This window comes from Homo sapiens, chromosome 6 (assembly GCF_000001405.40).
Source record: "Homo sapiens chromosome 6, GRCh38.p14 Primary Assembly".
NCBI lineage: Eukaryota > Metazoa > Chordata > Mammalia > Primates > Hominidae > Homo > Homo sapiens.
Genome location: NC_000006.12, coordinates 137,355,785 through 137,371,576, shown reverse-complemented (window position 1 = coordinate 137,371,576; position 15,792 = coordinate 137,355,785). Strand labels below are relative to the sequence as shown.

The following is a 15,792-nucleotide window of genomic DNA, read 5'->3' as shown; positions in this document are numbered from 1 at the left end:
AAAAGGGGGCGCTTTTTAAACAAAATTTTGGAAGGTCATTGTTTTGGACTGAGCATGTGTACTAGGCCCCGACAGACCAGACCAAACCAAAATGGAGTCACTCATGCTAAATGTAACATAATCAAACTAAAACTTTAGGGAAAGAGATAAATCCTAAAACAAACCAGGTTTTGTTTTCTCCTATAAACAGGATATTCCAACACAAGGAGTTCCCCTCTACTCTTGCCCTCTAAAAAACAGTAAACCAAAGTCCTTATTTCCACCTCACAAAACCTACTGTTCTGCTATTTCCCAGTGGGATTTGAGACAAAATAAGTACATTTATCATGGTGACAGAGTGATATCAATGCCTAAAGTTTTGGTCTATCTCCCAAAATTGAGAGGATGACCAAAAGGTGAGAATTGTTAAATTCAGTCCAGCCTAAGAGTGCCTTTTTGGTTTCTCTGTACATAGTGAACTGTAACCTAATCAGATGTGTAAACAGACTGTAAGCTTTCAAAACAATCATCATGTTTTGGCCAAAGTCAGCCAACTGTTCAAACTGGGTTCAAAAAAGTCAAGCTCCACACTACAGCCAATCTAGCTGTTTCTGTTTCTCACTTCCATTTTCTGTACCTCATTTCCCTTTTTCTGTCCATGTGGCTGTGCTGGAGCCTCCTGAACCTGTTCTGGTTCCTGGCTATGCCTGATTCACAAATCATTCTTTGCTTAATTGAACTGTGTTAAATTTGATTTGTCTAAGGTTTCTTTTCTTTTAACACTGGTTTGCCTGGCTGCTTACACTGTGTTCCACAGCCAGCCATGCAAGGGCCCCAGTCTGCTCCCCATATCTGCTGGGTCCAAACTTGGAACACCTCCAAGGCTGCTCCTACATTACAGACAGATGCCTTCCTATGTGTATTTCAGCCTTCGCTTTTCTCCTTAAGTCCAATTTAATTTTAAAATTTCCAATTATTTCAGGGACTCTACAGAATTTCTGATCCACCTCGGACATCACTTCTTGTTTCTCAGATTTGTTAAAAAAAATTCTTAAATCTGTTATTTTTAGGGTTTAAGGAAGGAAAGGGTGTCTGGAGCTTGTGCTTAGTTGATGATTTTGATCCAATCACAAAGGATCTTTATTGAATAATTTGACAAGATCTAGTGTCTCTAAAGGTTTTTCCAAAAACAGTACATCTCCGTTAACATAATAGTCCCATAAATTAGCTAATTCAGGTGGGTCTGACCCTCATTGTGTGAAAGGAAAATTGGAGTTTCAGAGTGATTACTGCTGTAAAGCACATGGTAATAATACTGACCAGGCTTTATCCTGGGCTTTACAAATGACCCTCACGACAATCCTTTTAGGCATATGTTATTAGTTACAAAATTGAGGAGACAGAGACTCAGAGGCTGGGTAACTTGCCCTGTGGTTACAAAGAGGGTAAATGGCACAGCAGTGTCTCAAATTGGTCTCTTCTGACTCCAGATCTGTGGCTTCCACCCCAAACAGTTGCTTCCTACACAATGTACTGTGCCCAAACTCTGGGCTGCCCACCCAAAGCTCACCAGTTTCTTGCTTCGGAGACTCGGTGGGTATCCACAGCAAAAGACAATCAGATGCTTTGCATAAATCCTTTCTCTAAATACATGTCTTCCAGGCAGGTGGCTGTATTTGCATGGACTCCCTCTCTCCCTTCCAATTAACATCTAGGAGGCATCAAGCTTTAAATCTTCCTCTTGTTTTTAATTGCCTCTAGCCACATTTAGGAGAGATATGATTCCACCAGCTTAGCCCCAATTGTGAATGAGCATAAAACCTTTTCCCAGCTTTTGTACTCATCACTGCAAACTGCTAGGCTTATTGAAAAGGAGAGTGTTTTGTGTTTTGTTTCTGAATTCAGTCCGTTCATAGGCCTGTGAATGTGGCACCACAGCAATAGCGTCGTTCTGCACAGTCAGTGTGTCCATCTCCATCCTCCCCATTCCTTTTTGATGGTGCTGGATTACATCATATTTTTTTCTGTGGATGTCATAACTTACAGTGCTGCTACTAACAAGGTTACATGAAAAAAGCTAAGGTTTGCAGTGAAAATTGATATTGATGTTTCTCCCTACATGATAGTGGTTTTTCAGTTTTAGCTGGTGCTACAGTTTGGATGTGGGTTGTCCCTGCCAAAACTTAGCTGAAACTGAATTTCCAGTGTGGCAGTATTGGGAGATGGAGCCTAGTGAGAGGTGTTTGGGTCATAGGGGAGGATCCTTCATGAATATGTTAATGCTTTCCTGCTGGAGTCAATGAGTTTTGGCTCCCTCACTCCAGGAATGAAATCGTTCTCAAGAGAGTAGGTTGTTTGAAAGAATCTGGCTTCCTCAGTTTCCCTCTCTTGCTTCCTCTGCCTTTGCACACACCTGCTCCCCCAGCCCTCTGCCCTCTGCTGTGAGTGGAAGCAGCATGAAGCCCTCACCAGATGCAGCTGCACAATCTTGGATTTTTTAGCCACCAGAATTGTGAGTCAAATAAACCTCTTTTCTTTCTCAATTACCCTGCCTTAGGTCTTCTGTTAATAGCAATACAAAATGGACTAAGACGGTTGGCCATTGGAACAGAGCTTTAAAACACAGAGATGCCTGGTTTCATCCTGTTATAGATGGAATTGTTTCCCTTTCCCCAAATTCCTATGTTGAAGCCCTAACCCTCAAGGTGCCTGTATTTGGAGATAGGGTCTTAAGGAGATAATACATTTAAATGAAGTCATAAGAGTGGGGCCTTGATCCAATAAGACTTGTGTCCTTATAAAAAGAGAACCACCAGAGCTTGTTCTCTATTGCTGTCTGTGTGAGTGCACAGAGAAGAGGCTGTGTAAGGACACAGTGAGATGATGGCTGTCTACAAGCCAAGGAGATAGGCCTCACCAGAAACCAGCCCTGATGGTACATTCGATCCTGGATTTCTAGCTTCCAGAACTATGAGAAGATACATTTTGGTGTTTAAGCAACCCAGTCTGTGGTATTTTGTTCTGGCAGCATGAGTAGACTAATACACATCCTCTCTGATGTATTAATAATTTTTGGGGGGTTTGGTCTGTGCATTGAGATTTCTAAAAAGTTTCATAGGCGAGTCTAGTGTACAGCCAAGGCTTCTAGAATATGTTAAGGCCTTAGGTGGTGAACAAAAATATAGTCCCTACCCTTTTGGAAAAAACAACTTACTAAACAAGTTGAGATAGCTGAAATAGATGAGAGGGATAGAAAGAAAGAAAGATACATAGATGATAGATAGATAGGCAGACAGATAGATAGATAGGAGTTTTTGTGGTAAATGTTGTAAAGAGAAAGAACGGGATGCTGTGAGATAAAATCACAGGAATGTTGACAATTTACTTCAAATCAGGCAATACAGAAGCGTCTTTGAGGAGCTGAGACTTCAGCAAAGACTTGAAATAAGACAAGAGCAAACCTGAGAGGAGAAAGGAAGAGTATTCCAGGTGTTAGATATCCCAGTAGTCATATTTTGACTTATAGAGGAATATGCTATTTAGGAAAAACATTGAATAAGAGACTCAATAATATCTTTACCTTGTCTTCATGAAATCAATGTATTTAGAGAAGTATTCTTTGCCTATGAAACTCCACTTGTATTAAATCTCTGACTTATTATACATTTTAATTACCAATGATATTAGGAGTAATAGTTTCTTGAGGAGGCGAGGCAGCCATGATGGAATTCTAAAAATGGATAGGTCCTCAGATATTATGTGCAATTTAACTTATTTTTAGATGGACTTAACTGAAACTCTTCTCTATTGATATTATGTTTTATTTTTACTTTCCAAAAAAAGATATATATCATCATCCCTAGATAATCTATTCCAGAAATTCACAATCCTGTCTCCATACAGGACTCTAATCTTTGTGATCATTTCTCTAATAAAGAAACTAAGGCACAAGTAGATTAAGAAACCAGTCCAAGGGTGGCAAATAGAAGGTCATCCTATACGGCAGCTTGATTACATAGTGGTGATCCCTTGGAGTATTATTGAGATGGATTCTGAGTTGTAGCCAGCTACAAAATGTCAGGATTAATTATGATGCCTGTCATGAACGTGGGAGGGAGTACATGTATCCCATGCTTTGTATTTCTAAATTCATCCGCTATTACTTAATTGCATTCAGGAGCTGAATTGAGATTTATTTACCACTATCTTAAATGCTCTTTTGTTAACTAGAGTTGTTTGTTCTCTAAGAAGGAAAAAAAAATCCCCACAAAACCACTGTACTGCTGTGTAAGTTTCAGGATCATATATACATGTGGATGGGCATATAGGCCAATCCATAGTGAGAGTGTTATTTGTGTTTTCACTTTAGAACAAGGAAGCATTGATTCCCTTTAAAGAATTAATTTATTTCTAAATGGTAAGTTATTGACTACTCTTAAGAAACATCTGCATAAAATGACAGACTAATAATACCACCAGAAGTATCCGAAACTTGTATGATCATCCTACATTTAAAAATATAATACCCATGGGTCCTGCTTCATCAGAATATTAGTTAGACTTGTGTGTAATAAGGCAATATATATGATTGCCAGGTAATACTATAAAAATACTTCTTACACATTCTGGCATATATCAAATTTACTAATATTATCTGAGCTTTAGTTCTAATTTTCTTTTACATCAATGTGGGCTGAAGGCATCAGGAGCACTGAGATGCTCAACACGGAAATTCCAGGAACTCTCACTGACACAGATTTTAGCCATGGTTTGACCTCACCAAAAGAGTTCACACAGTTACTACTTATCTTAGAATCCTGGTAATGGGCTATCATTCTTTGTTATTTATTTATATATTTGTCATATGACTAGGCTGTACAAAATTGATTTTACCTCACAAAAAGGTAATATAAAAAAACAAACAAAAAAATCACTGTAAACCGTATTGCAGTATTTTTAAAGCAAATAGGAAAAGGGGAGGTGGGCCATCTTTAACAGTGAAATACACAATTTTGTTGCATTACATTAAAAGTAGTTACATAATTTTGGGGCCTAAGTCCTTTCAAATGCCTTCACCACCTACTTTCACATTTGCGGAAAACATCTAGTGTTTTGAAAACTTTTCATTGGTACTTTATGCACTCACTTCTGAGCCTTGCTTCCAAAACCCAGGACAGTGATATCCTGATGTGGGCAGGGACAGCAACCCCAGGGCACTTCCGCTCACCCAGAGTGAGGCAGAGGAAATCGTTCTCTGGAACATTTTTTTATCCCTTCATTTGCCTTTCCCATCCAGAAAAGACAGAAAATGGACTTGCAGATGGGGTAAAGAACAGCTTGTTGTCCCCCAGGCGGGAAAGGGAGGAACCATTTGCACAGAACAGCATCTGGAGGCCCTGCCCTCCAAGGAACAACGCTTCCAGGGGGAAGCCAGCTTTCCACATTCATTGCTGTTTCCTAAGGAAGGACAGAAAGCGAACAAGGGAGGAGAGAAAGGAGCGGGGGACTCCCTTTGTATCTGTGCCCAATATGGTTTCTTTTGATTTTTCATCCTCCATAGTCAAGGTCTCCCCAGGGGTTCTCATCTGTTAACTAGGCTGGCTGTACCTGCCTGCCTGTGTGAAAGTTGCTCAGCTGCTGCCCGGGATGAGGCGAGCACATCACATCTATCTCCCTGGCATCTACTGAGCTCTGGGCCGCAAAGATCAAGCCCCACACGGAGCACAAAGGCAGGTCTGTATAGAAAGAGGCGACCTTCTTTATTGTCCAAGGCTCTTTGTGTGACGCTGGGGTCAGCACTCCCTCCGCATTCCTGCCTAGACCATGGGAGAGAAGAGGTTCGAGGCTAAGTACAGTAAACAATCCCTGGACCCTCATGTGGGTAAAAATTTAGGATTATTAGTGGGTCCCGCATTTCCCCACCCCTTATGTCTCAATATAAAACCCAGGACATCAGTAGAACTGACATTTTTTGAGACCTGTTTTCCTGTTCTGAGACCAGATAGAACATTGGAAATTGTGATTGAAGGAATGAATGATAGACGTTTAGAGTTTGTTTCAGATTTAAACCAGCATCCACCGACCTCAGGAAACAAGACATTAAATATCCTATCATCTTCTTCGGCCTTGTTTTTATTATCATCATCATTTAAAAATCAATTTTTTAAAAAAGCATAATGATTGTTGGCTGAAGGTCAGAAAGGAGATGCACAGAGGAGAAAGGACTTTCCTATTCTGACAAAATCCTGGTCAATAAAAAGGAAGAAGTCAGAACAATTTAAGACCAGATAAGGAACGTTTAAAATTTTATGATGCCGTTTTTATTTAGTAAAAGAAAGGAAAACATTTCAATCAAAAGCATGTACTAAGCAATGAGTAATTACATCCAGGTATGAAACTCATTCTTAAACCTCTCACAATGGGTGGAAAAAAAAACACAGATTCACATAATCAAATATATCTAGGAAATGCTGGATCAAATACAGCCATAGTTGATCAATGCAGTTCTTTATTGTCACATTGATCTAGATCTTTATTAAGGTATTTAAATCTTTATCAGGTATTTAATGCATAGTGACACTTCAAAAATAGAATATAGAATGTAACAATTTCATTTGCATACCTTTTTTAACATTACATAGGATTCAGATTTTTTTGGAACGCCTTTGAGAAATTATGTGCTGTATATGACAAGTATTCTAAATAATAAAGTAATTTTATAATGCTAAAATAAATAAATAAATCTTTCGCAACGTCTTACGTACCCTTTTGGATAAAATTTTGGCCAACACAAAGAATCTTGTCTACTGGATCCTGGATCTTATCATGCTTGTGGGCAAGGATTTCTTTTCTTTTTTCTTCAAAATGTTATTTTACGGTTTAAAGAGCGAAATTTCCTATAATTAGAACCTCTTTTTTCCCAAAACTATGTGATGTATACTTCCTGAAAAGTATTTGCCATTGCAGAGTTAAAATGATAAAATATTGCTTCAGTCTGCTTTGCATACAACATACCATATGCTTCTCATTCATTTGCACTTTTCTCCTTCAATTAAAACATTGCAAATTTCAATCTCAGAAAAACATTTATCAATCACTATGTCCTACTGTATACCTTGGTCACCAGTAACAGAGGCCTATCTTTTCTCCTTGTGCCGTATCTTTCATAAGTACATTTCCAATATTTGTTTTCCTATTTCTATTTCCTGTCTTCCTGATTCCCCTATCAGTGTTTCTCTGAGAAGATTTGGAAAATGGGCAATCCAAAAAAAAAGGCGCTGCTGTTCCATTCGTTCCGCCCTGCCCCCATAAAAAGCTAATATTTTCAGGTTGACTGAAAGTTTAACTTTGTTATTTTTTTTTATTTTTCAAGAAAATCTAGCGTGACATGGCACGTGTTAGTGCCCTCTTACTTAATAAATTACAAGTTTTTTTGACCTAAGTTAAAAGCTGTGCAAATCTCCCGTGTCTGTGTTTTCATTGTGTATGGATTTTCCTGGTCCAGCCGCAGACCCGGACGTCGTGGTAGAACTCTGGAATTTAACCTCCATCTTTCTGCCTAGAACTCCTCTTTGTCCCTCAAAATTTCAGAGAAGGCATCATCCCCCAAGAATGCTGTATTTTCTGATGGTGAAACTTTCCTGCTAGTCATCAAAAAGCAGAGATGACTTGACAGGAAGTAAACCATGTTCATGCAAGAACCACATCAAAGAGGCCATCATTATCCTATTTTTTTTAAATAGCTGATCTTTTTTAGTAGTTAAAAGAATAATCAGGGTTTTCAAGATTCTAAGCAATTTCTTCAAGATTGGAAGAATCAAAAAGACCGCAAAAGACACAAAAACTTGTTCTCTCTTTATTGGGAGGATATTTTTAAATGGTATATAGAGTTCTTTTCCCAATTTTAGTATACTGCAGAGTAGGCCATAACGGGAGTGTTCCATGGTGGTATGATTTCTGGCCTGTGGTGGTGCTGGCCCCCAGGCAAAAACCATCTTTTGGGAAAAGATCATATGGGATAAGGCTTTTAAAAAATGGATCAAATAAGTCTTGAGGGAGCCTCTTCTCGTCTGTTACTAAACACACCCATCCTTTCTTTCCTCGGCAGACTGGCCTGGACCGACCCAAGCTGTTGCACTGGGTAATGAAGGTTGAACTTGTCATGCCTGGGGATAGGCCCTTTCAGCCAAGCCCCTCTCCCCAGCTAATGTGTCATTTCATTTTCAAAAGGGAGAGATATTCTAGAGCTATAAATCTCTTCTCTTTCTTCGCCAGCTTGCAGCCCCTGCCCTTATGTGGGGGACTACCTCTCGGAAGTTATTCACATTGGGTGGGAGAGGTCAGCCTGACGCAGAGTTCCTGGCAGGTGGTCCAACGTGGAAGCCCAGGGCCGTGCAGATCTTCGGCCCCAAGGTGCTTTAAAGGCTCTCTCTGGAAAATAATAGTCCGGCGTCTTTGTCTACATCTCCAGGGCTGTCTGTGACAGGCTTTGCTTCATGACAGATTGCTGTCCAGACACTGACCCCGTTGTATCTCCAATCAGCCTGCCTTCCAATCCCAGTGGAGAGCAACTTGACATACTTCCAGAAAATCAGCTCTTTTTACTCTCAAAGGAAAAAAGAAATAGAACACTCATTGTTGGAGGTAGCCTCTGAGCGGTCCTTTAGGAATGTCCACCGAGAAAGGAGAGGGAAAACAGTGGGCAATATTTGAATATTTGAATATGGACAGCAGTGGATAGTGTCACTGGCTGTTCTTATGTTTTCTCCACATATTACTTAGATTCCATCTCACTCTGCCTTACCTTTCGATTTCCTGCACAGTCTATCAAATTAGTGTATTGTCTTTCTTTTCTTTTTTCCTTCCGATTCCTCTGGTTTTGCCTTGATTTTGTTTGTTTGTTTTCTTTCCTTTATTTTCCTTTTTACTCATCTCTATATAAGACTTTATGTTAACTCTGTAGTGGATAAAAACATAAGCAAAGTTGATGACTCTTTCCTTTGCCCCGTTTCAGCTCTTTATATAGTATAACACCTATTGCATTCAGTGACCATATTTGGTGATGTTTGACGTCTTTATTTCTATCTCCTGTCTTTTTTTTTTTTTTTTTTTTGAGACGGAGTCTCGCTCTGTCACCCAGGATGGAGTGCAGTGGCACGATGTCGGCTCACAGCAAGCTACGCCTCCTGGGTTCACGCCATTCTCCTGCCTCAGCCTCCGGAGTAGCTGGGACTACAGGCGCCCGCCACCGCTCCCGGCTAATTTTTTTTGTATTTTTAGTAGAGACGGAGTTTCACTGTGGTCTCGATCTCCTGACCTCGTGATCCACCCGCCTCAGCCTCCCAAAGTGCTGGGATTACAGGCGCGAGCCACCGCGTCCGGCCTGACGTCTTTATTTCTAAAGCGCTAACGTAGTACCTGGCAGTATTTGAAACTTCACTGATATTTGTCGAGTGAGAGAAAGAGCTTTCACAAAAAATACAATATAATTTCTCATTAGCTCACTCAATTCTCTAGAGTAGGATTTCTTAACCTCAGCACTATTGACATTTGGGGCCAATTTTTTGTTCTTGTGGAGGCCATCCTATGCATCACAACTTCTTAGGATGTCTAGCCACATCCCTGGCTTCTACCCACTAGATGCCAGTAGCAGTCTCCCCTTCAACTGTGACAACCAAAAATCTCCCCAGACATTGCCAAATGTTTCCTAGGATGAAGAAATCAGCCCCAGTTAAGAACCATTGTTCTAAATCAATGTTGCCCAATAGAACATTCTGAAATGATGGATGTGTTCTATCTCTGATGTCTTATAGCCACTAACTAGCTACTGAGCACTTCAAATGTGGCTGGTTCCAATTAATATATGTTGTAAGTGTGAAATACACAGTAGATTTTGATTACTTAGTCCAAAAGGGAACATAAAATATCATATTAATAGTTTTTAATGTTGATTACATATTGAAATAATAATTTGAATATGTTGAGTTAAATAAATTATTTAAATTAATTTTCTGTTTATTTTTACTGTTTTTGGCCACTAGAAATTTATAATTACATCATGTGGCTTGCATTTGTAGCTCACAATATATTTCAATTAGAAAGCACTGCTCTAGATAGTCTGCTTGCTGTTGGTTTTACTTTCCCAATTTATTTTTTTATTTATGTTCTTCTCACCTGTTCCCCCAAAATGCCACTGTGAGTATTTTCTGCACTAAGTTATTTTTGTGCAGTTCCCTGTCTAGTTTATTATCTGTGTGATCTTGAGTATCTCCCTCTCTGACTCTTATTTCCTTCAAATGTAAAATCAGTGAATTATACTCAATGATTTTTAAGTCTCCTACGAGTCCAAAACCTTAAGTTGAATCAGCTGTGTTTAATAAAACATAGCTGCTCAACACAGGCCCTCTGAGGAGGATAAACCAGGCATCCCTCAGAAAGGCACCTATGGGTTCCAACACAAGAGTTTTGTAATCAGACCTGGCTGGCCATAGATCACCCAGTAGACTCTAGCATGTCCCAGAGGATGCTGGATTGGGGGATGCTGATAGGAATTATTAATGCTAGGAGGAAAAAATTCCATAGTTAAATGCATTTGAGATATACTGGGTTAAGCAAAACTAGAGAAGCCTATATAACTGCAGGTCATCTCAGAACATTTAATATACTAAAATGTAGTGTAAATCGAAGGAGGTATATAGAATGCAACATTTTCACATTTATGTGTTCATGGAACTTGTATACAGCTTTGGATTTTAAACTGATAGTAATGAGTATCCACTGAAGCCAGGAGTGACAAGAGCGATTGATGTTTTAGAGAGCTTCCTCCGGGCACTATAGATGTCAGAGGAGCGACAAGAACGATTGATGTTTTAGAGAGCTTCCTCTGGGCACTGTAGACGTCAGATTGGAAGTCAGAGATCAGGGGCAGTGTGGGGGACTGTCCAGAGAAGAAGCAAGTGAGGAGGCTGTAGTAATTGCCTGGATGAACATTTATAGGACCTGAAAAGGGATGATTTGAAAGTTGTTTGTGAAATTCAATCAACATGATTAGGTAGACCCAGGAAGGCCCAGTTTCTGGCTTGGCAACTCAATGGATTGTAGTGGATCTATCAATGAGTGAACAGCCTCGTTAAGGAGACAGACCTATAAGTGAGTAATTACACTGCATTTTGTTGCACAAAATTTAGAAGTAGGAGCTGGGCATGGTGGCTCACGCCTGTAATCCCAGCACTTTGGGAGGCCGAGGCGGGCGGATCACTGTGGGTCAGGAGTTCGAGATCAGCCTAGCCAAGATGGTGAAGCCCCGTCTCTACTAAAAATACAAAATTTAGCCGGGCTTGGTGGCAGGTGCCTGTAATCCCAGCTACTCAAGAGGCCGAGGCAGGAGAATTGCTTGAACCTGGAAGGTGGAGGGTGTAGTGAGCTGAGATCGTGCCACTGCACTCCAGCCTGGGTGACAGAGTGAGACTCTATCTCAAAACAAATAAGAAAAAAAAATTAGAAGTAGGTTTAAAGGCAGAAGCCATTAGCTTATACATATACATAGACATAAACATATTTTTATTGATAAAAGGTGTAAGATGCATGATCTTTCCAACGGGTAGCATTATTTACAAATACTCCATTTGTGCACATTTTTTAAAAGTTTGGATCAGGGTTCAAGATTCAGTTTTGTACTCAAAACTGAATTGGGGAGGGGGATCACAATGGAAAACACATCTAGTAGGAATAAAAAATCAATGCAGTCTGAAATCTCAATGAAGGCAAGGATTATGTGTGTATTGTTCACCCTATATTCCTGGCCCCTAGCTAAATGGCCTGCCATATAAATATCTATTCAATGATCTTAATTTCAAAGCATACTGCATCTGCCTCTGAAAACTAAATACAATATTAAGAAATGATATAATAGGATTATTTCATTTAACTAAAAGCATTGCTTTTTGCAGCAGCAACGGGAACTCTTGCTTCTTTGGAAATTGTTTTTCATATTAAATGTTCTCAATATTTTAAGTAATATTTGCTGTTGTTAGTGAAAAGCTCTTCCACTCTTGGCAGGGGGTGGTTAGCTAACTTGGCCTGTGTGGTCTTAAAAGGAGGCCCCTCAAGGGTACAATGAAATTCCCATAGCTGTACTCAGTTTCTTGATGACTTTGGTCCCAGTATGGTTTTTATTCATTCACAATTCCATTCTAAATTCTGTTAAGCAAACAATTATTTTTAAGAGAAGACTCTAGTACCTCATTCACAAATTACACTTTTGGAAATTATCTATATCTTACAAACTAAGGAAAACAAAAATCAAAATTAAGTTCACATTTAATTTAATTTATTTGGATAGTCTATTGATTTTAAGTTAATAAGAATTCCTAAAATATAATTGGAATTCCAGTAGTATAACTTATATTTCTACCAGATATTTATAAATTATCAGAAGAATCTGAATTATATTACCTTTGCCATATCTGTCCCCTCTTGCTCTTTGCTCTGCCAATCCTATAAAGTAACATGCATTACAGGTGCCCGCTGCTACACCCAGCTAATTTTTGTATTTTTAGTAGAGACAGGGTTTCACCATGTTGGCCAGGATGGTCTCGATCTTCTGACCTCGTGAACTGCCCGCCTTGGCCTCCCAAAGTGCTGGGATTACAGGCGTGAACCACTGCGCCTGGCCTATTTTTTTAAAAAAAAAAAAGAAATGCAGAATTTCAGTCCTGACCCTAGACGAATTGAATTAAAAATACTCAGGAAATTCATATACACATTTAAGTTACTGATAACTCTTGATTGGCCATGTTAATAGGAATGAAAATAGGAGAGACAAAATGCTTCATTTTTGACATAAAGTTTGATGTCATCTTGTTAATATTTTCAAGAACTGCTTATAAGTTACTACCCAGTGTGGCTGGCTTTTAGTTCCACTTCTCCCACTCACTAGTGACAATCAGTGGTATTTCTCAAAGGACAAGAAATGGCCAATGCATAAATTATATGGATAGAGTGAATGTCTCAGGATGCTACAATGACTTGACCAAATTGCCTGCATGGCGAAGATGCCAACTGAGAGGCCCTGGAATGCACATGTGGGATCTAGGAGGAATGGCTCTGAGAGTGGCAGCTGCAGAGGATGCAGGGAGGAATTTCAGCCTGGCCAGCAGGTGTGATATCAGAAGCCGGGAACAAGGGCCGACAGCTCACAATCCAAGTAAGCAGTGGCTTAGAGGGGTTGGGAAGGTGGTGCCTAAGAAGTGGGCTCTTTGAGGCAAACAGAGGCCAGTAATTGGAAGAGGGGAAAGAAAGATCATGCCCAGACAGGCTAGTGGTGCCAGGAAGCAAGGCAACAGCAGTACTACCAAATTATTAAACAAACAAACAAAGAAATGGCAGGAAAGGATGAGGCTGTTAGTAAAGATGAAGTTACCAGGAGTTTTGTTGATTACAAAAGGAAGCTCTAATTCCTGGCTTACTGAAAATATTTGATATATTGAGTAGATATGGACTTGGCATCCTGCCCTCTAAATATAGGAAGATATGGCATTTTAAGAAAAAAAAATTATGGTTAAATTTCAGATAAAAGGAATGTTTATAAAAACTAACAGCCAGTCTTAGGAATAAACTCCAAAAATGTGATCTCTACCTGCATTATGCCACTTGTCTGCAAAGGTGGAGAGAGGCACTTGAAAGGACTGTTCGTGCATAAACACATGATGGGCAAAGTCCAAAGATGACATTTCCTTTTCCAGATTCGGGACCCCTAGTCGGAGGGTGATTTACACGTCAGTTGCAGCGCGTTGGTCAATGTTCCAGGCTGTCAGCTCGGCACCGCCCTCAGGGCTCAAGCTACACAGGGCATTGAAAGGTTAGTCAAAGACCACATTGTGTTCCCCTTGCTGCAGGAGCGGCTGCGCTAATTTGGATTGTGACTTGGCTTGTCTCCCCCTACTCTTCCTGAGGCCTGAGCTGGGTTTGTGTCAATCAGTGGTGTCACAACATTCAAGCATTGGAGGGTGGTAGCCCTTCTCAACCCGCGGAGTCATTTTTAGGATACATTTTAGAAAGACATCTAGGATGCTGTGATTCAGCTCTACACACTCCATACCAATGACAGTCACCATTACATCTTTCTGCAGATTTATGGAAGGCATGTATCACATTCAGTGCATTTAATTTGTACAGTAGTTGGTGGTATAACTATTAGATTTGGAGTCAGAAAGCCTGGCTTTGATTATCTTTGTCACTTATTTTTGTGCCTCGGTTTACTTATCTATAAAATCAGTATATTACCTCTCGTTGTAAAAATAACACATGTGAGATCACTTTGTAAACTATAAAGAGGTATTATATGAAGTAAGATGTATTATGATGATTGTTACCCTATCAGAGGGAAGCCACATTGGAACCAAAGATGAAATCAAATATAATCAGCACAGCACTTAGGGGATGGAGGTCACAGTCAAATGTTTTAAATTCAAACATGATCTTACAAAGCCAGGATTATCAAGAATCATTGGAATCAGAGATTAGTTTATTATAATGTTTGCTTTAGCAGCAAATATTACTTAGGTTTCCATTAAGTATGAATGGTTGCCAATTAGTATAAATAGTGACTGTGATTGCCAAATAAAACTCTAATACAAATATTATCTGAGCTAATGAAACAGATGAACAAAAGTAAAACAAAATGGCTTTTTCATTTTTTATAGATAATGACTGGAACAAGTCACCACTGTGAGGTGGCCCTACCTGGCAGGGTACTCTCTCCTCTTTCCTCCTCCTGAAGAGACTTTCCCCATTTTTTAAATTTTTTTTTTATTTCTTGGTTTTAGGAGATGACAGCAAGCCTCATATTCCAAAAAATCTCTCTTCTAATTCCCCTTTCTTGTCTTCCTGAGAAGGAATTACTCCTTTGGGTCTCTTTCTTCTCATCCTTGCTTCGCCAGCGTTTTTCTCTAAACGTTCTGTTTTCATGAACTTACCCCACTCTAGTCTCTGCCAAATCAAGAGTTTCCTGAAATCTTCACTTCAACAGTAAAATGTGTAAAGGATGTTTTCTTCTGATTGTCTTACCTTTTCCTTCTGAACTTTTAATGGCAACTTGGAACATTTTTTTTTTTTTTTTTAAAAAAAGAAGTATCAGGGTAGAAGAAGAAACTAGACCCTTTTTAACATTCAGAAGTATGTAGATATAATGGACATTAAAAATAAAAGTATTATTCCCATCTTTAATGAATCAAAAGTTTTCTAATAGGGTTTTGTGAATTACAGACAGTATTTTTAATTCCGTAGAGGAAAGACTTAGGTTTGGCAGGAAGACAGTGTTAAGGCCCAAGATAATTAGTCTTTGACATGTTCCACATTCATGTGCTTGAAGGTATCCATTGGTTGGGATTAATTAGGACAAACTGACAAGCCGAAATGTAGGGAAGAGATCCTAGCAGCACTCATGGCATACACGTGCCATCGTGGCTTCACTTGGCATATTATTCTCAGAAAAAAATCTCGTTTCCTAAGTTTTCTCACCCTTCACAAATTCAATGTAAGAGTGCAGCTATTAACCCTTTCATCTAGGTCTCAGACTTTAGCCACCTCCTCTGCCAGCTCACACCTTGGTGGACTCAGAAGGACCAAACTTCAGCATCTAGATGGAAAGCATCTTGCCATATACATATATAAATCTTTTTCAGTAGCTATACGGTTATTTATAGTAATAATCCTTTGGGGACCTCAGACTCTCCTAGAGATTACTAAAAAAAAAAAAAAAATCTGTTTTCTTATAATGTGGACAAATCTTTCCATGTTTAGATAATAAAATTT

The 15,792-nt window shown here is 39.4% G+C and overlaps 1 annotated feature.

The window, feature by feature from the left end:
- Positions 471 to 640: an enhancer, noted in NCBI's record as "experimental_90385 CRE fragment used in MPRA reporter constructs". NCBI's record gives its function as "activates a minimal promoter by MPRAs in K562 erythroleukemia cells, with activity observed for both the introgressed and non-introgressed 6:137692159 variant alleles {active_cell/tissue: K562}" and the evidence as "EXISTENCE:reporter gene assay evidence [ECO:0000049][PMID:34662402]".